Source organism: Homo sapiens, chromosome 5, assembly GCF_000001405.40.
Source record: "Homo sapiens chromosome 5, GRCh38.p14 Primary Assembly".
Classification (NCBI taxonomy): Eukaryota; Metazoa; Chordata; class Mammalia; order Primates; family Hominidae; genus Homo; species Homo sapiens.
In genome coordinates, this window is record NC_000005.10 from 139,151,796 (window position 1) to 139,173,457 (window position 21,662).

Here is a 21,662-nt window from a genome sequence, read left to right on the forward strand (position 1 = left end):
ATATTTGGTTAATGGAAAAAAAAACTTTCAAAAGAGAAGGAAAGGAAACCCCAAGGATATTTAACATGTAACTTAGAATTTCTATATTTTTCAAATTCCCTTGCAGGGAGAAAAGGCAAAGAAGTCTTTATTTCTCAATCCTACTTTCCAAAACTTTTCCAATTGATACAACATTGTCATAAAAAATTTCAATTTGTAGAGAGCATGGAGCAGAAGAAGGTGCAGTGGCTGAGGAATTTTAAGCTGCTGCAAAGAGGCTCTGAGGTGAGAGCAGGCAGAGCTGCAGCAGAGGTGGGAGCAGCAGCCCTGAACACCGCAGGCTCGGCAATGGTGCCTTGGGCCGTGCGTCTAAGATCAAACACCAGGGACTCAGGCCTGCGGCAGGCCACGCTCTCCACACAATTCTTCAGGTTCCTATGCTCAGACAGTGATTTGGAGTAAATGGTCAGGCTTTAATGCAACGTCAAAGTATCCTGGGGTAAAAGATCAGCAAATTACAAGTATACATCTTGATTAAATGTTTATTTAGAATGTAGAGGGATTGGCCAGGCACAGTGGCTCACACCTGTAATCCCAGCACTTTAGGAGGCCGAGGCAGGTGGACTGCCTGAGGTCAGGAGTTCGAGACCAGCCTGGCCAACATGGTGAAACCCCACCTCTACTAAAAATACAAAAATTAGCCGGGCATGGTGGAGGGTGCCTGTAATCCCAGCTACTCGGCAGGCTGAGGCAGGAGAATCCCTTGAACCCAGGAGGCAGAGGTTGCAGTGAGCCGAGATCATGCCACTACACTCCAGCCTGGGTGATAGAGTGAGACAACATCTTGGGAAAAAAAAAAAGAAAAGAAAAAAAAAAAGAATGTAGAGGGATTACTCTATAGCCAGACCATGAATCTGACCCTATCCTTCCCTGCTTGAAACCATTCAATGGTTTTCCAGGACCCTCAGAATAAAGGCCAAATTCCATACTCGCAACCTGCCACCATCCAGCCCTGATCAACATCAGCAGCTTCATCTCTTTCCTCTCCCTGCCTATTGAGATGGAGTTTTGCTCTTGTTGCCCAGGCTAGAGTGAGTGCAATGGCGCGATCTCAGCTCACCGCAACCTCTGCATCCCAGGTTCAAGGGATTCTCCTGCCTCGGCTTCCCAAGTAGCTGGGATTACAGGCATATGCCACCACGCCCGGCTAATTTTGTATTTTTAGTAGAGACGGGGTTTCTCCATGTTGGTCAGGCTGGTCTTGAACTCCTGACCTTAGGTGATCCGCCCCCCTTGGCCTCCCAAAGTGCTGGGATTACAGGCGTGAGCCACCGCACCTGGCCTAGAGTTGGTCTTATACAACATTTCTTACAATGCTGAAGACATCTCGTCTCCCACCTCCAGGCTTTTGCACATGTCATTCCCTCTGCTTGGAATGCCATTTCCCCTCCTCTTTATCTGACAAATTCCTACTCATCCTAAAGGCTACAGCTTAAAAGACACTTCCGCTTTGAGGCCTTCCCCAACCCTCCCCACTACAGCAAATTCAGTGCTGCCAGAGCACCTGTACTTCTCTGATCATAGCATTATTATACTTTCTTATATAGTTGTCCTTCTCCCCTTCCAGACCTTAACCATTGCAAGGACAGAGACCATGTTCATTCTGCCTAACTAGCTCAAGACTTGAGACAAAAGAGATGTTTAATAAATTACTGAGATGATTTAGAGTCTCTGTTAGACTCACTTCTCAGTTCTATCCTGGTTCACCCCCTAAGCCAGTTACACGCTTGCCACCACAACACCCACTTGCCTCCACAGACCCCTCACATTTCTGTCCTTAGTGGATGGCTCACTGAGGCCTTGACCTTAAGCACGTTCATCAGCTATCTGTTGCAGCATTTGCTATCTGATGGACACAGTGTTAAGTAACTGAGATACAAAGGTGACTATGCTCCCCCTCCTGCCTTCTAAGAGAAAAAAAGGGGCATATAAACAAATAATCACCACATAGTATGATAAGTGTCATAACGGTGAGGTATCGGAATGTAGGTGTTGTTAAACCATTTTTCCCAGTGCTCCTCTTTCCACAGTACCCCAAGCTAACTACACACTGTCCTTCCTCATTCTTACAGACAGAAATCCTTCCAGTGCTCTTTCCCCGAGTGTCCAGCCCAGACCCAACTTCTTCAAGCTGGGCTCCCATTCTGTTCCAGGTTAATTGAAATTCTTTCTGGCTTCTGCTTTCTCGCCTTCTTCAGTTCTTTTCTCAGGCATCTCACATACATCCCTGCCTCTTTTCTTATCCTGAGCCAACTTGTCCAAACTAGTATTTCTCCATCTCCTCTCTCAACTGTCTTGGATGATAACTTGGCATTTATAAGACATCTGCATTTACACAAAATGTAAATAACAGTCTCTGTCTATAATGAAGAAGGGACTGAGCCAAAATATCAGGTAAAAAAAAAGGCAAAATAAACCTTCATCAACAAAGTTTTCTCCCTCTACTGCTTCCTCTTACAGATCCAAGTGCTAGGGCATCATGGCCCTCAGAAGATGTTCCCAATTCTGTTACATTTCCAGGGACATTACAGTGCCCTTTACTCACTAATGCCCAGGCAGTGACCCTCTGGCCTGCCCTTTCAGTCTCTCTGAATGCTAAGGCCACTCTATCCAGCCATGTGCTCATTTAATCAACATGTGCTGAGCACCCCTGTGAGCCAAGAGCCATGTCTTCCACAATGCTGTGCACGCTCTGTACATAACACATGCTTGATTAATGTCTGTGATTGAATCACTGATAAGAAGGAAACCAGGTGAGCCTCTCCTGCCCCTTGCCCAGGAATACCCCGGTGTAAAAAATATTTTGCAATATAGCTGAGGTCAGAACCCCCACCCCGAAAGCCTCTTATTCATCTAAGCCTAGACCAGGGAGACCTTTACTCCAGCTAAGGAGATGCTGACACAGCCCTCACATCACCAAGCCAAGTGAGCCAGAGAAACTAGTGTTGTAAAACACCTTTTTAATCAAGTGACTTGTCTCCTGTTAGTGTAGATTTAGGGGAAATTTTTCTCAAGGAACCAGAAATAAATGGAGAGGAAGAAAAGAACAGAAACTAATGAACATAGTAATTATCCCCCAAAGTTGCAAATCAGAACAATTCTTCACCTGAAGACAAGTATGAAAAACAAGATTGAAATGCTTCAGGGATGTGTTTGTGAAACAGCAGGTAAAAGAACAGATAAAATGTATTTACAGTACCTCACTGGGGATACGTACCTTTTGGCTGATAGCTAACAGATACTAAATACCGCTGTAAAAATAATATTATTCTATCCTTCATTATGGAGTTATAGTTATCCACAGGAAAGCAGGAACATAAACTATTTTGAATGCTAATTAGGAATAATTTCAGAGTTCAAGTTTATTCTGAGATTTCTGGGCACAAGTGGGTATGAGCTGGGTTAGGCCCACTGTATTAGCCTGCTCAGGCTGCTCTAACAAAATACCACAGACTGATGGCTTCAACAACGGAAAATTTTCTCACAATTCTGAAGGCCAGAAGTCCAAGATCAAGGTTCCAGCTGAAGACTCTCATCTTAGCTTGCAGATGGCTGCCCTCTTGCCATGTCTTCACATGGCCTTTCCTCAGTATACACACACACGTACACAGAGTGAGAGAGAGAGAGAGAGAGAGAGAGAGAGAACGAGCTCTCGAGCTCTCTTTAATCTCTTCTTATGGAGACACTAATCCTGTGGGATCACGGCCCAAACCTGATGACTTCATTTAGCCTCACGTACTTCTTTACACCAAATACAGCCACACTTGGGATTAGGACTTCAACATATGAATTTTGGGAGACACAAGCATTCAGTCATTAATACCCCCTAAAGGGAGAGACCTGTTCCCCCAAAGACCAGCCCAAGCACTGATAAAAGAAAACAGAAGACTGGGTAAGAGGGTGGCCTTGGGGATATCTGCAGACCATAGCAGGTGACAGCCAAGGACCCCAGGGCACAGGAGGCCAAGGCAGGCATGAGGGGGAACTGTCCCAGGTCAAATAAACTCTTTTTTTTTTTAAGACAGTCTTGCTCTGTTGCCCAGGCTGGAGTGCAGTGGCGTGATCTGGGCTCACTGCAACCTCTGCCTCCCAGGTTCAAGCGATTTTCCCACCTCAGCCTCCCAAATAGCTGGGATTACAGGAACACACCACCATGCCCGGCTAACTTTTGTATTTTCAGTAGAGACGGGGTTTCTCCATGTTGGCCAGGCTGGTCTTGAACTACTGCCAGGTCAAACTCTTAAGGAACTATCCTCTCCCTTTCACAGAAGATGACTAAATAATAGTAATATAAAATATATGTTTACGTAATAATAATGCTTTCTGGATACCAGGCATCAACTACATACCTGGCCCATTTCCAAGTGCTTAGCAGGCAAGATTTCATTTAAATCTCATGGCAATTTAGTACAGAATATTTGATAATCATTTTTATTTTACAGATAAGAAAATAAGTTCACACTGATGAAAGTCACTTGCCCAAGGTAACCCAGTATGGTAGGCAGAAAAATAACATCCCAAAGATATCAGGTCCTAATCCCTAGAACCTATAAATGTTACCTTATTAAAAAAAAAAGAAGCCAGGTGTGATCACTCACACCTGTAATCCCAGCTACTTGGAAGGCTGGGGCAGAAGGATCCCTTGAGCCCAGGAGTTGAGTCTGGCTGAGGGAGGGAATAAGAAAAAAAAAGGATCTTTGCAGATGTTTTTACATTAAGGAACTTAAAATGATTATCCTGGATTATCAGCATAGGCCCTAAATCACAAGAAGCTGAGGGAGATTTGACAGAGACACAGAAAAGAAGGTGATTGAGATTTGTAGACATTGGCCTTGAAGACAGGAGTAATGTGTCCACAAGCCAAGGAATGCTGTTAGCCACCAGAAGCTAGAAGCAGCAAGGAAGAACAGATTTTGCCCTACAAGGTATAGAGGGAGCACAGCCCTGCCAATACCTTAACTTCAGCCCAGTGACACTGATTTCAGACTTCTGGCCTCCAAAACCATGAAAGGATAAATCTCTTGTTTTAAGCCACCAAGTTTGTGTTCATCTGTTACAGCAGCCACGTGAAACTAACACACCCAGCTAGCCAGACTCTAACCTGGGTCCTATGACTCCAGGCCAGCACTCTTGAGCCCTGTGCCTTGCTCCTTTTCTATACACAGCCTCCCCAAGCCAGACTTGTCCACTATCTGATGGGTGACCCTGCCAAGAATTGAAGCAATCAGCACTGACAGCTCCTCTGCTGCAAAGCCTTCTCATGAGCCTCTCCTTTCTCCCACCAACATCACTGCAAAAGCTTATCAGAGACTGAATTATCTTCTTGATGTTCTAATTATCAGGTGTGGAGAGAAATAGTCCAGAATCTATCATCCACAAGAGGAAGTAAATCAAACTGTCTAACAAAGGTTTTCATCTAATTTTTTGTTTGTACTTGTTTTTCCAATCACTGAGAAGCTCCTAACCTTTGTTGGTCTGCTCCATCCTGCCCACAATTTCTCCTTTCCCACAGAGACATGTTTGGAAGGTATCAGACCACGAGTAATTCAGTTTCCTCTCTGCCCCCTGAGAAGGACTGCTATTCACCACTTTGACTTCCCAGGAACACCAAGAGAAGGAGTGAGCCACCTGAGTCCTTCTCTGGAAGTTTTCAGGATGAGTGTTGGTGTGAGCAGGCTGGCCCAGAGGTACCTCAAGTTAACCAATTCTGGAATTAACAAGCAAGCTAATAAACACATTGTCAGGACAAAGGTAAAGCAACCCAAAATGCACTTTTTGAACCTATTCTGACAAGTGTGCTTCAGCTTTATCTGTTTATGACACTTCAAAATGCAGGTGGAGAAACACAGCAGTATGTTTTGTAAAAATAATGATGTCTTGGTAACAGAGGACACTGTGGCTGCTGTGGCTATGAAATCTTTGCAGAGGAGCCAGTAGAACCAGTTTGGGGTTCCTGGGAGAAAAATCAGTTTGGTGGAATAGCAAAGGGGAAGACTTGGAATTTACTAATGTAGTACAATAATAGTTAATTCATTAAAGTACCCAGAGTTCTACTTTTCTTTTTGCTAGATGCTTTTCCTCTCCCTCAACCCCATGTCTTCCTTCAATCCTTCAAGGTTATTCTAGCAACTCTCTACCTTCTTTTGTCAAGAAGGTTCAATCTGATTTTTCGTCAGTATCCCAAAACAATTATAGCTAACATTTAGAGAGTTGCAAAACTGGGTTCACAACAATCCTTCGTCATAGGAACCATCATTATTCCCCTATTACTGATGAGGCAGCTGAGATCAAAGAGGTTAGGCCACCTTCCCAAAGTCAGAGAGCTAATCAATGGCAGAGCCAGAATTAGAAAGCAGGTCTGACTCCAAAGCCCAAGATCTTAACTACAATATCAAACTGCCTGCCTCCAAATGACACCAAATGAATGGGGGAAAGTTAATAGTGTAAGCTAGAGAAGAACTAAAAGAGACAAATTACACATCTTTGGGTGAGCCTCTGAAGTGCTCAGAAAGACTCACAAAAATGTTCTTAGAATTCTGTCTAGAAAATTTCTTCCATTCCTGCATCCTCAGAGAGAATCATCTTGAAAATGCAGTTAGTCCCTAAGAATCCTTGTGGGAGGCAAATGAATCTAGAAATGACAGCAAGCTTACCCCTTCCCCAGATGAACCAAACCCCTCGGATTTAGCAGTACCTGAAGGGAGCCCACCCCTGCTCCCTCCACCTGCCTGATCTCAGCAGGCTGTCACCAGCAAGATCCTCATTCATCGCACCATGAGGGAAATAATGGAGAGTCCCCAAGTGTGGGGGAGAAAACCAAAAAGTAATGTAAAAAGATAAGGAGTAAGAAGAGAACAAAGCCTTTCAGTTAATGGCAGATGAGAAAAAAAGGTAAAATAATTTTTTAAAAAAAGAAAAGAACAAAGCTCAAGCTCCTATTTATTATGTATCCGCAGGTTCTAATTTTTTAAGCTTCTTAAGATATTCTGGCTCCAAATTAGCTTTCTTTGCTTAGTCCTAGTTATTGCTTTAGCTCTCTTCAAATGGGCCCCTAAAGATGTTGAAAAAATGTAACTGAAAGGTCAACTGGTTCCATGGGAACTGCAGGGAGACTCTCTGACATCTTGCTCTGAAATGCTATTTTGTAACTTTATAGGATAATACCCTAGAACTAATCATGGTAAAGAATTTCCCATTCCCCCTGGCAACAGGGCTAATGGAGGCTACAGGGGACAAGGGGAAAGAAAGATGGTACTAAAAGAGAGAGAGGGAAAAAAAAAAAGGCCCCATCTCCTCATTTAGCAGCACATGCGCAAAACAGTTTCCCAAATTCTACCCAAATCACTAGGCTAACACTGATGCCATCCAATTCCAAAGCAACATGTCACACATGACACTGTCCTTTCTGATGGAAGAAAGGCCAGCAGGATGTGAGGAGGTAAAGAACTGGGGCAGCAAAGAGGGGATGGAGAAGAAATATAAACCATAAATTAGGGCCGGAAGCCCTGCTGCTTGTCCTGCCAGGAGCTGGCAAGGAAGGACTGAATCAAGTTTCTGAAACGTAAGACCATGAAAGGGGATGTTAAAATAAATTGAGAGAAAACGGAAAAAGATCAGAGGAGAGAAGAGTCTTATTGCACCAGGTTTGCAATTTGTCTGCTTTCTGAGCTGAAGCTCTGAGTACCAGATTTTTTAAGATTTATTTTAAGAGCTTTGAGGCTTCTTGGGGAAAAAAAAAATCACTAATTGTACCTCTTTCAAAGTTTCCAGAATTTTGCTGCAATGGAGGGTATTTGCATGAAGCAGGACAAGTTCCTCTTAGAGAAGTGCCTATTCTTTATAACACAGTTGTGCTTGTGTGTGTGTGCATGTGTAAGAGAAGAGAGACCTTTGGAAGCTGTTTCCCCCACAGCAGTATATTAGTCCATCAGGTGCACAGGTGAAGAATACAGAGGCTGATCCACTCAATTCTTGTGAACACAAAGGTTGGCAACTGATTTTGAAGTTCTTACTCAGGATTTAAGAAAGAAGAGGAAATCAATGCAAGTCAAAATAAAAAGAGATGCAAGTATGTTTACTTTCTAAACAAAACAAAAACCCTCAACCTAAAAAAAAATTTCCTTTTAAAGGCAGCCTCATTAGGCATCACAGAAGTGCAGGCCATTACCATCCCTGAAGGTCAAGAGCATCTCAAGTTTGGGGACCCTGGCTGAGGTACCATTACATGACACAGATTCACAAATGACAGTCACAGTGGGGTGGGAGAGCCTAACTGTGCATTTTACCCATCCCAATCACATTTCCACAATCACACACACACACACACACACACACACACACACACACACACACAAAAGTTATAGCCTGGAGGAGTAGAAGAGATGGAGCCTAACATATTACCTACAACCCTAGCCAGAAGACAGCTGTGAAAACTTCCGAAAGAAAACACTCCTTTGAAGAACTGCAGAAACAACACAGGGGCCAGGAAACAGAGCAAGTGAAAAAAGATTAAAGGAATGAGGATCATCATTTAGCACTGAAAAGGGGCAGTAAAAGAAGTGAGCAGAGCCTTAATAATGATTTTTGAGCCCAAAGTTGGTTGAGAGAGCCACTCTACCAAAAAGCTGTTCTACCAAAAAACTACCTTCTGGTAACTACTAGAACCTTCAAATCCCTGTCTTGCTGGTGTATAGCTGAAATTCTTGCATAAAAAAGGGAGCGAGGCCAGGTGTCGTGGCTCATGCCTATAATCCCAGCAGTTTGGGAGGCCGAGGCAGGCAGACCACCTGAGGTTAGGAGTTGGAGACCAGCCTAACATGGTGAAAACCCGTCTCAAAATGCAAAAATTAGCTGGGTGTGGTGGCACACACCTGTAGTCCCAGCTACTCAGGAGGCTGAGACAGGAGAATTGCTTGAACCTGGGAGGTGGAGGTTGCGGTGAGCCAAGATCATGCCACAGCACTCCAGCCTGGGAAACAGAGCAAGACTCCATCACAAATAAAAAAGGGTGGGGGTAGCAAGAGTTTCACTAAAAGGGGACTTCTACATAAGTTTAAACATAAAGACTATTCCAGAAGGATAGGGGATAGTCAGTAACTAAAGCAAGTTAATAGTAACAAGAATAACAGGCTGGGCGCGGTGGCTCATGCCTGTAATCCCAGCAATTTGGGAGGCTGAGGCGGGTGGATCACCTGAGGTCAGGAGTTTGAGACCAGCCTGACCAACATGGTGAAACCTCGTCTCTACTAAAAACACAAAATTAGCTGGGCATGGTGGCGCATGCCTGTAATTCCAGCTACTCAGGAGGCTGAGGCAGGAGAATCGCTTGAACCTGGGAGGCAGAGGTTGCGATGAACTGAGATCGCGCCATTGCACTCCAGCCTGGGCAACAAGAGTGAAACTCTGACTCAAAAAAAAGAATAACCAAATACCCTCAGTCAGCCACAAGGCCAAATCTTTAAATAAGGGAAATGAAGGAGAAAGCTAACAAGCAGGCTGTCCAATATCCTTCATTTGAGAGCCGTATAGTGAAGAGTAGACAACATCTAAGTCAGGTTAAAGGTAACCATGTGCTTTGAGAAAAGGAAAAGGAGAAGCCAGCTTCAGGTGGGAAAAAGGAGCCCTAGACATGAGTAGAGACCAGTATCTGCAGGGCTACAGTTCTCAACACACAAAGAATTGTTTTTGGGAAAGCTAATGAACATCTGTCGGCTAACCCTGTTCTAGACACTCTCTCTTTCTCATATCCATCCCTGGGATTTTATTATCTTAAGAACCAGGTCTTTGAGCACCAATAACATTTAGGACTCAAACGTTTTCAAAAGTGACCAGAGTCCCACATCTTCCTTACTCCCAGGAGCTTGGAGCACTTCCCTAGAAAAGCAAAGAATTAGAATTGCTGGCCAGGTGCGGTGGCTCATGCCTGTAATCCCACCACTTTGGGAGGCTGAGGTGGGCAGATTGAGTCCAGGAGTTTGAGACCAGACTGGGCAACATGGCAAAACCCCATCTCTACTAAAAACACAAAAATTAGCTGGGCATGGTAGCACGCTCCCGTAGTCCCCACTACTTGGGAGGCTGAGGTGGGAGGATCATCTGAGGCTGGGAAGTGGTCGTTGCAGTGAGCCAAGATCATGCCACTGCACTCCAGCCTGGGCAACAGAGAGAGACTCTGTCTCAAAAAAAAAAAAAAATTAGGATTGCCTAGGCCTTACCAGGTGGGCACACCAGCACTGAGCAGTCCCCCTACAGTCTCTACAGCTCCCAAACATACAGGCCCTACGAAAGGAGAACAGTTACACTGGCCAATATTTGCCATGAAAAACCAGGCCACTACCAGAAAGAGAAGCACTATCCCCTCTGACCTCTCCATGTCTCACCCTGCCACCCACTCACATTCTGTGAATTTGTTTCTATCTGGCCATTGTCAATTCCTGTCTAATGACCTTATCTAAGAACTTAGGGAGTACTACAAAAAATGTCAGTAAAAAATCAGAGTGAGATAAATTTGCTATTCCTGGTGAGCTTTTGTGTTTGTTTTATTCCAAACCAATTCACTAAAGCTTGCTTCCTTATGACAGAAATCCTAAAAATCAATGCTCAAAGCCTAGCAACCACAAACTCCCCCTTCCAGTAACAAAATGCTAGGAAGAAAGAGAGCCACATAAAACGAAGGAAGGGGAAAATGGCCTCTCCACAGACTGTTCCAATTAATGGGAGTGGAGGAGCACAATAGTTAATGAATAAGAAAGAAAATCATCTTGATTACATTTATTTAAGGAACAAAGCAGTAGGAATGTGAATGTGAACACCTGTGTACCCAGGTTCAGCGTAATAAAAGAACACATTCTCATTCACAGCTCATTCATTCAACAAATGTTGTTTGATCATCTACTATATGCCAGGTACCTTTCCTAGGACTGGGAATACAGCTGTGAATGTGACAAACAGATCTCGTCCCTACTCTCATGAAACTTACGTTCTAGTGGAGGGAAAACAGAGTCAACAAGAAGCAGAAAAGCAAGAAAAATATCAAGTGGTTAAGTTATGGTGACTTAAGTAGTCACTTTATACCAGATAAAAGGAAGAGCCTTTCTTGTAAATAACAGCAGAACTGAGCTGAGAATGACAAAGAGCTCATCCAATGAAGACGAGAGAAAAATATTCTAGGCAGAGGGTACAGGTGGAGCAAAGGCCCTCTGTTTAAGAAGCAGAAAGTAAGTTACTGTGTCCAGAACACAGAAGGCAAGCAGAAGGGAGTAGGGGAGGTTAGGAGATAAAGCTGCCAAGGAAGGCAGGCAGGGATCGGAATATGAAAGGCCTTATAACCAGGCTAAGGAGTTTGGAGTTGATTCTAAGTATGATGGTGAGCCCAAAGGGCGTCAGGCAGCAAGGTGACGTGCTCCTTAAGAAATTGAGGGAAACTGATAACTGATTCCAAGATGGAAACTGACTTTTCAGAAAAGTTATCTAACCACAGAAATTTAAAACAGCTTAATTTCCCCAAAAGAAATGCTTCACTGTTTTGTTTTTTTTTCGGTTTTTTCTTTTGTGGAGACAAGGTATCGCTCTGTCACCCAGGCTGGAGTCAAGTGGCACCATCTCGTCTCATTGCAACCTCCACCTCCCAGGTTCAAGCGATTCTCCTGCCTCCGCCTCCTGAGTAGCTGGGATTACAGGTGCCCACCACCACGCCTGGCTATTTTTTGTGTTTTTGGTAGAGATGGGGTTTCACCATATTGGTCATGCTGGTGTTGAACTCCTGGGCTCAAGTGATCCGCCCGTCTCGGCCTCCCAAAGTGCTGGGATTACAGGCATGAGCCAACATGCCCAGCTGCTTCACTATTTTTTAATTTATCAGTTATTAAATATGCACTAAGTGAAGGGCACTGTACTAAATGTATTAAATATTGGGTTGGTGCAAAAGTAATTGTGGTTTTTGCCATTTAAAATTGCAATTATTTCATCCTCATCCAGCACTGTAAGTAGATATTATCATCTCACCTATAATTCCTATAATTCACGCCTATAATTCCAGCACTTTGGGAGGCTGGGCGGGCAGATCACTTGAGGCCAAGAGTTCAAGACTAGCCTGGCCAACAGGGTGAAACCCCGTCTCTACTAAAAATACAAACATTAGCTGGGTATGGTGGCGTAAGCCTGTAATCCCAGCTACTCGGGAGGCTAAGGCACAAGAATAGCTTGAGCCCAGGAGACAGAGGTTGCAGTAAGACAAGATCGTGCCACTGCACTCCAGCCTGGGCAACAACAAGAGAATGTCTCAAAAAAAAAAAAAAAAAGATATTATCATCTCCATTTTACAGATAAAGTAACCAAAGTTCAGACAGGAGGGGAAATGACTTGCCAAAGGCCACGCAACATGTACATGGCACAAAGCCAGGAAGGGACTCCAAGTCTCTCTGACTCAAAAGAGCCAGTGCACCAGCTACTTTCTCTAATGACTCCATCCCTTCCCTCACAAGAGGGAAGAGAAAAAACAGTTCTTTCTGGTTACTACTCAAAGCTTCTGCCCATTGCCTTCTCTCTACTTGAAGGAGCCGCTCACCTTCCCCAGTAAGGGACACAGATTGAGGCCTGACTCCAAATACCTTCTCCAAGAACCTTCCCTAACAAGGCAAACCCAACCCCACTGTCCCCATGTCGTTAGTCAGCCTCTCTCAGCCCCTAGGGTCGGGCCCATGGGTTCTGTCCCTAATGAAACTTGAGCTCTTTAAAGGCATTACAATCTTCACCATTCATTGAGCACCTACCATGTGCCAAGCACATGACCTCCATTATTTCATTTCATCCTAACTGCCCTAGGAGGTGGGTATCAGTACACACTTATTCAGATGAAGAAACTAAGTCACAGAAGTAATAAGAACAAAGTCCAAAAGCTAGTAAGGAAGAGGTGGGAAGATGGTAGAGTAGAAAGCAATGAGGACTAAACTCTGATTTTATCTGGCCCAAATTCCTATCTAAAAGGTCTGGGGAGTCATGTCCTACAAACAGTAAATTCTCATCAGATGGGTTTTATTTAACCATGTATATTGAGACTTACTTTCCAATCTGACTCTGGCATAACAAGGAAGAAAATAAAAATATTTTACCCCAAAACATGTTTCTCTGCCATATCTTGAATGGCCCTGCAAAGTGATCCCTTGTGGGAAAAATCCACATATTCTATAGAGAATCCCCTACCCCCTTGTTTTCCTTTCTTCCTTCCTTCCTTTCCAGATCCAGGAGATAATCAACTAAGAGTCACGCATTCTTTTAGGTCCGATAAGAAACATTTTACAACCTGCTCTCTCTGAAGTGTGCTACCTGAGAGCTTCCTCTGCACAATAAAACTTGGTCTCCACAATCCTTTATGTTAACCTAAACATTTCCTTTCTATTGATCCCAGATCTTCAGATAAACTCAACCGTCAGCCAGAAAATGTTTAAATTTACCTATAGCCTGGAAGCCCCCACTTTGAGTTGTCCCACCTTTCTGAACCAAACCAATGTATTTCTTGTTTGTTTGTTTTTTTGAGATGGAGTTTCATTCTTGTTGCCCAAGCTGGAGCACAAATGTGTGATCTCGGCTCACTGCAACCTCCACCTCCCAGGTTCAAGCAATTCTCATGCCTCAGCCTCCCGACTAGCTGGGATTACAGGCACATGCCACCACACCTGGCTAATTTTTTGTATTTTTAGTAGAAACAGGGTTTCACCATGTTAGCCAGGCTGGTCTTGAACTCCTGACCTCAGGTGATCCGCCCACCTTAGCCTCCCAAATTGCTGGGATTACAGGCCAAACCAATGTCTGTCTTTTTTATTATTTTTATTATTATTATTTTTTGAGACGGGGTCTCACCCTGTCACCAGGCTGGAATACAGTGACACGATCTCGGTTTACTGCAACCTCCGCTTCCTGTGTTCAAGTGATTCTCCTGCCTCAGACTCCTGAGTAGCTGGGGCTACAGGTACATGCCCACCATGCCCGGCTAATTTTTTTTTATTATTTTTTAGTAGAGATGGAGTTTCACCGTGTTAGCCAGGATGGTCTCGATCTCCTGACCTCAAGATCCGCCCACCTAGGCCTCCCAAAGTGCTGGGATTACAGGCCTGAGCCACCACGCCTGGCCTGTATTTCTTAAATGTATTTGATTGATGTCTTGTGCCTCCCTGAAATATATAAAACCAAGCTGTACCCCGAACACCTTGGGCACATGTTCTCAGGACCTCCTGAGGGCTATGTCATGGGCCATGGTCACTCAGGTTTGGCTCAGAATAAGTCTCTAAAAAATATTTTACAGAGTCTAACTCTTCGTCAACAGCACAGAAATCTGTCTCCCTAACTAGACAACAACTGCACTGACAGAATTTGTCTGATATAAATCAGAGTCATGTGCTGCACATTTCAGTCAACAACAGACCACTTATACGACAGTGGTCTCATAAGATGACAATGGAGCTGAAACATTCCTATCACCTAGTATTTACCATTAAATACTTCTTATTGCTATTTTAGAGGGTACTCATTCTACTTATTTTTTAAGAGGGGCCAGGCATAGTGGCTCATGCCTGCAATCCCAGAGCTTTAGAAGGTCAAGACAGGAGGATCCCTTGAGGCCACAAGTTCAAGATCAGCCTGAGCAATATAGCAAGATCCTGTCCTTACAAAAAATACAAAAATAGGCGTGGTGATGAGTACCTGTAGTCCCAGCTACTTGGAAGGCTGAGGCAGGAGGACTGCTTGAGCCAAGGAATTTGGGGTTGCAGTGGGCTATCATCATGCCATTGCATTACAGCCTGGGCAAGGAGTGACTTTTTTTCTTTTTCCTGAGACAGGATCTCATTCCCATAGCCCAGGCTGGAGTGCGGTGGCATGATAGCAGCTCACTGGAGCCTCAACTTTCCAGGCTCAGGTGATTTTCCCACCTCATCCTCCTAAGTAACGGGCACTACAGGCACACACCAGCACACCTGGCAATGTTTTTGTTTTTTTTGAGACAGAGTCTCACTCTGTCGCCCAGGCTGGAGTGCAGTGGCACAATCTCAGCTCACTGCAAGCTCTGCCTCCCAAGTGCATACCATTCTCCTGCCTCAGCCTCCCAAGTAGCTGGGAATACAGGCACCCACCACCACGCCCGGCTAATTATTTTTTTGTATTTTTAGTAGAGACGGGGTTTCACCGTGTTAGCCAGGATGGTCTCGATCTCCTGACCTTGTGATCCACCCGCCTCAGCCTCCCAAAGTGCTGAGATTACAGGCGTGAGCCACCGCGCCCAGCCTTTGTCTTGTATTTTTAGTAGAGACTACTAACACGGTTTCGCCATGTTGCCCAGGCTGATCCTGAACTCCTGGGCTCAAGTAACCCCCACCCCCCGCCTCAGCCTCCCAAAGTGCTGAAATTACAGGCGTGAGCCACAGTACCCAGCCAAGGAGTGGCTTTAAAAGAAAAACAAAGTTAACTGTAAACCAGCCTCAAGCAGGTCTTTCCAGAAGGCACTATTATCACAGGAAATGACAGTTCCAAGTGTGTGATTGCCCCTGAAGACCTTCCAGTGGGACTAAATGTGAAGATAGAAGACAGTGATGTTAATGATCCTGACCCTGTGTAGACCTAGGCTAATGTATTTTTGTCTTTATTTTTAACAAAAAAAGTTTAAAAAGTAAAATTAAAAACTGCTAATAGAAAAATGCTTACAGAATAATGTATAAATATTTTTGTGCCGTTGTACAATATGCATTTGTTTAAGCTGTTATTATGAGTCAACAGTTTTAAATTTTAAAGTATATAAAGTAAAAATATTACAGTAAGCTACAGCTACATTTATTATTGAAGAAAAAATTTTTTATAAATGTAGCGTAGCCTAAGTGTACAGTGTTTATAAAGTCTACAGTAGTATACAGTAACATCCTAGGCTTTCATATTCACTGACCACTTACTCACTGACTCACCTAGAGCAACTTCCAGTCCTGCAAGCTCCATTCATGTTAAGTGCACTGTACAGGGGTACTACTTTTTATTTTTTCTCTTTTAATAGGTTGGGGTCTCCTTCTGTTGCCCAGGCTGATCTTGAACTCCTGGGCTCAAGCAATCCTCCTACCTCAGCCTCCCAAGTAGCTGGGACTCCAGGCATGTGACACCCGTGTGCAGCTACCATTTTTTATCTTTTATACTACATTTTTACTGTACCTTTTCTATGTTTAGAAATGTTTAGGTACATAAATGCTTACCATTGTGTTACAATTGTCTATAATATTGAGTACAGTAGCAAGCTGTACAGGTTTTAGCCTAGGAGCAAGAGGCTATACAATAAAGCTTAGATGTGTGGTAGGCTATACCATCTAGGTTTATGTAAGTACACTTTATGAGGTTTGCACAAGGACAAAAATCACTTAACACATTTTTCAGAACTATCCCTGTTGTTAAGTGAAGTATGGCTGTATTTTGGAACTCTGGAAACAACTGAAGCCTTGCAACTTCCAGGGAAAGGCCTTGATGGCAAATTGCAGTTAATGTCTATCAATTTCAACTCTTAGCAGAGTAGCAGCTACGTTTCCCCCAACTTCACGGCAGGTAGTTGTGTATGTGTTCCTGGAGCAGCTTGCACACAGCTTGCACAAAAAGAACACTGTCTTCCAAATACTGGGGATCTGTGCTGATTCTGATTGCTGCTTCTGATTACAGAGGTGCAGACAAAGTAGTAGCAGAGATTGTTGTTGCTCCTCCCAGCCCGGTTGCAAGCCCCTTTCCCTCAGGCTGAAGTGACTTCCTGGAGATTTAAAGGGCCAATGCTTTTTTTTTTCCTCCCCTGATCATTTATCTTTTTCACCTTTTGGGAGTCAGACATTAAAGAACATTCAAGCAAGGCGCAGTGACTGACACCTGTAATCCCAGTATAGGAGGCCAAAACAGGCAGATCGCTTGAACCCAGGAGTTTAAGACCATCCTGGGCAACATGGCAAAACCCCATCTCTACAAAAAATTAAGTGGGCCTGACGGCACGTGTCTGTAGTCCCAGTTACTCTGGAGGCTGAGGTGGGAGAATCACCTGAGCCCAGGAAGTTAAGGCTGTAGTGACTTGTGATCACACCACTTCACTCCAGCCTGGGCAATGAAGACCCTGTCTCAAAAAAAAAAAAAAAAACTGAATTTTTAAAGGCAACTACATAAGCCTGTCCAGTCATGCATGCTTGTAGTCCCAGCTACTCAAAAGGCTGGGATGGGAGGATTGCATGAGCCCAGGAGTTGGATGGTATAGTGCATTATAATCATGTCTATGAATAGTCCCAGTACTCCTGATTGGACAACATAGCAAGATCCTGCCTCTAAACAAAAATGTTTTTAAGGCATCTACATGTGTAAGGAAAATCAGAAAGTCACTGCACATGCCCAGGGGAAAGTGCAGGCTCAAAAGAGACCTGAGAAGACCTTAAGTTTACACCTGAGGCTGATCCTCAGCACACAAAGCCTATGACAATAAAAACAAAAACGAAAACCACAAACACTGGGAAAGGCAAAAGATCTGCTTTCCAGGGTTACCACATTATTATATTCAAATGTCCAGTTTTGAACCCAAAACACAAGGCATACAATGAAACAGAAAAGTATGGTGTGTGTGTGTGTATGTGTGTGTGTATATAGATAGATTTTTTTTTTTTTTTTTTGAGACAGAGTCTTGCTCTATTGCCCAGGCTGGACTGGAGTGCAATGGCACAATCTCCACTCACTGCAACCTCCGCCTCCTGGGTTTAAGCGATTCTCCTGCCTCAGCCTCCCGAGTAGCTGGGACTACAGGTGCACACCACCACACCTGGCTAATTTTTTGAATTTTTAGTAGAGATGGGGTTTCACCATATTGGCCAGTCTGGTCTCAAACTCCTGACCTCATGATCCACCCACCTTGGCCTCCCAAAGTGCTGGGATTACAGGCGTGAGCCACCACGCCCGGCCCAAGTATGGTATATTTAAGAAAAAAAAAAGCTCTACTCCCTCTCCCCTCTCCCCTCTCCCTCTCCCCACGGTCTCCCTCTCCCTCTTTCCACGGTCTCCCTCTCCCTCTCTCTCCACAGTCTCCCTCTGATGCCGAGCCGAAGCTGGACTGTACTGCTGCCATCTCGGCTCACTGCAGCCTCCCTGCCTGATTCTCCTGCCTCAGCCTGCCAAGTGCCTGCGATTACAGGCGCGTGCTGCCACGCCTGACTGGTTTTCGTACTTTTTTGGTGGAGACGGGGTTTCGCTGTGTTGGCCGGGCTGGTCTCCAGCTCCTAACCGCGAGTGATCCGCCAGCCTCGGCCTCCCGAGGTGCTGGGATTGCAGACGGAGTCTGGTTCACTCAGTGCTCAATGGTGCCCAGGCTGGAGTGCAGTGGCGTGATCTCGGCTCGCTACAACCTCCACCTCCCAGCAGCCTGCCTTGGCCTCCCAAAGTGCCGAGATTGCAGCTTCTGCCCGGCCGCCACCCCGTCTGGGAAGTGAGGAGCGTCTCTGCTTGGCCGCCCATCGTGTGGGACGTGAGGAGCCCCTCTGCCTGGCTGCCCAGTCTGGAAAGTGAGGAGCGTCTCTGCCCGGCCGCCATCCCATCTAGGAAGTGAGGAGTGCCTCTTCCCAGCCGCCATCCCATCTAGGAAGTGAGGAGCGTCTCTGCCCGGCCGCCCATCGTCTGAGATGTGGGGAGCGCCTCTGCCCCACCACCCCATCTGGGATGTGAGAAGCACCTCTGCCCGGCCGCGACCCCGTCTGGGAGGTGAGGAGCGTCTCTGCCCGGCCGCCCCCATCTGAGAAGTGAGGAGACCCTCTGCCTGGCAACCGCCCCATCTGAGAAGTGAGGAGCCCCTCCGCCCAGCAGCCACCCCGTCTGAGAAGTGAGGAGCCCCTCCGCCCGGCAGCCACCCCGTCTGGGAAGTGAGGAGCGTCTCCGCCCGGCAGCCACCCCGTCCGGAAGGGAGGTGGGGGTCAGCCCTGGCCAGGCCAGCCGCCCCGTCCGGGAGGGAGGTGGGGGGGTCAGCCCCCCGCCCGGCCAGCCGCCCCGTCCGGGAGGTGAGGGGCGCCTCTGCCCAGCCGCCCCTACTGGGAAGTGAGGAGCCCCTCTGCCCAGCCAGCCGCCCCGTCCGGGAGGGAGGTGGGGGGGTCAGTCCCCCGCCCGGCCAGCCGCCCCGTCCGGGAGGTGAGGGGCGCCTCTGCCCAGCCGCCCCTACTGGGAAGTGAGGAGCCCCTCTGCCCGGCCAGCTGCCCCGTCCGGGAGGGAGGTGGGGGGGTCAGCCCCCTGCCCGGCCAGCCGCCCCGTCCGGGAGGTGAGGGGCGCCTCTGCCCCGCCGCCCCTACTGGGATGTGAGGAGCCCCTCTGCCCGGCCACCACCCCATCTGGGAGGTGTACCCAACAGCTCATTGAGAACGGGCCGGGATGACAATGGCGGTTTTGTGGAATAGAAAGGGGGGAAAGGTGGGGAAAAGATTGAGAAATCGGATGGTTGCCGTATCTGTGTAGAAAGAAGTAGACATGGGAGACTTTTCATTTTGTTCTGTACTAAGAAAAATTCTTCTGCCTTGGGATCCTGTTGATGGGTGACCTTACCCCCAACCCTGTGCTCTCTGAAACATGTGCTGTGTCCACTCAGGGTTAAATGGATTAAGGGTGGTGCAAGATGTGCTTTGTTAAACAGATGCTTGAAGGCAGCGTGCTCGTTAAGAATCATCACCACTCCCTAATCTCAAGTACCCAGGGACACAAACACTGCGGAAGGCCACAGGGTCCTCTGCCTAGGAAAACCAGAGACCTTTGTTCACTTGTTTATCTGCTGACCTTCCCTCCACTATTGTCCTATGACCCTGCCAACTCCCCCTCTGCGAGAAACACCCAAGAATGATCAATAAAAAAAAATAAAAAGAAAAAAAATAAAAAAGAAAAAAAAAGAAAAAAAATAAACCAAAAGAAACTATCCCCGAAAAGACCTAATGGCAGATCTACTAGACAAAGACTTTAAAGCAACAGCCTTAAAGTTGCTTAAAGAACTAAAGGAAGGCATGGAGAAAAATCAAGAAAACAATGTTTGGAAAAAGATTAAAATATCAATAAAGATACAGACATCTTAAAAAGAAACCAAAAATTCTAGAGCTGGAAAGTACAATAACTGAAATAAAAAATTCACTAGAGGAATTCAAAGGCAGATTTGAGCAAGCAAAAGAAATAATCTGAGAACACTTGGAGACTGGACAATGGAAATTATCAAGTCTGAGGAAAAGAAGCACAAAGACTGAAGAGAAGTGAATAGAGACTAAGGGACCTAGGGGACACAATCAAGCAGACCAACATACACATTGTGAAAGTCCCAGAAAGAAAAGATAAGTAGCAGAGAGAACATTTGAAAATATAATGGTACAAAATTTCCCAAATTTGATGAAAGACACGAACATAAACATCTGAAAAGCTCAACAAACTCCAAACAGGATGAATACAAAGAGACTCACACCAAGACACATTATAATCAAACTGTTGAAAGACAAAGGGCCAGGTATGGTGGCTTAGAGCCAGGCATGATGGCTGATGCCTGGAATCCCAGCACTTTGGGAGGCTGAGGCAGGCAAATCATGAGGTCAGGAGTTCGAGACCAGCCTAGCCAACATGGCAAAACCCTGTCTCTACTAAAAATACAAAAAATTAGCTGGGCATGGTGGCAGGTGCCTGTAATCCCAGTTACTTGGGAGGCTGAGGCAGGAGAACTGCTTGAACCCGGGAGGTGGAGGTTGCAGTGAGGCAAGATCACGCCACTGCACTCCGGCCGGGGAATAGCGTGAGACTCCGTCTCAAAAAAAAAAAAAAAAGACAGACAAAGACAAAATCTTGAAGGGGAGAAAAGCAACTCATTACACACAAGGATCCTCAATAAGATAAGGAGATCTCTCATCAGAAACTTTGGAGGGACCCACTCCCAAGATGGCAGCCGCAATGGCTGCCAGCTGTTGCGGCCACAGTGAAGACAGGCAGCAAAACACCAGCTGGTCCCAGATTCACTGCTAAGTGCTGAGGGGAGTTTTTCTCTATCCTCTGTGACATTTCCAATTTTAGATAATGCCTCACATCTCTGCCCCCACTCCAGAACCCGCTGATGCCCCCATGATCCCAAAGAAGACAGCCTACCCTAGAATTCACCCCCAGGATGTTGCAACACCACATTTTGTTTTTACATAATTTAAGAGACTAATGCATTAAAAAAATAGATATAGGTTATGTTTTTAGACACACAACGTGTAAGATGCAATATCATGACATCAACAACTGAAAGGGGTGAGAAATGGAGCTGTTGAAGAAGCCGAGTTTTCTATGCTATTGAAGTTAAGCTATTATAAATTCAAATTACAGTGTTATAACTTCAGGATGTTAAATGTAATGCCCATGGCAACCACACAGAAAATAGCTAAAGAATATACACCAAAAAAAATGAGGGCCGGGTGTAGTGGCTCAAGCCTGTAATACCAGCACTTTGGAGACCAAGGCAGGCAGATCACTTGAGGTCAGGAGTTTGAGACCAGCCTGGCCAACATGGTGAAACCCCATCTCTACTAAAAATACAAAAATTAGTTGGGGGTGATGACAGGAGCCTATAATCCCAGCTACTCAGGAGGCTGAGGCAA

General features: G+C 45.5%; 1 protein-coding gene across 5 annotated transcripts in view, besides 1 other annotated feature; it reads right to left on the reverse strand.

Moving 5' to 3' along the window:
- Nucleotides 1-21,662, reverse strand: part of SIL1 (SIL1 nucleotide exchange factor) — a 251,645-nt gene that overhangs the window by 205,072 nt on the left and 24,911 nt on the right. The gene's annotated exons all lie outside the window — the stretch shown is intronic.
- Nucleotides 12,332-12,532: a silencer, noted in NCBI's record as "peak5496 fragment used in MPRA reporter construct". NCBI's record gives its function as "represses an SCP1 promoter by STARR-seq MPRAs in K562 erythroleukemia cells {active_cell/tissue: K562}" and the evidence as "EXISTENCE:reporter gene assay evidence [ECO:0000049][PMID:32103011]".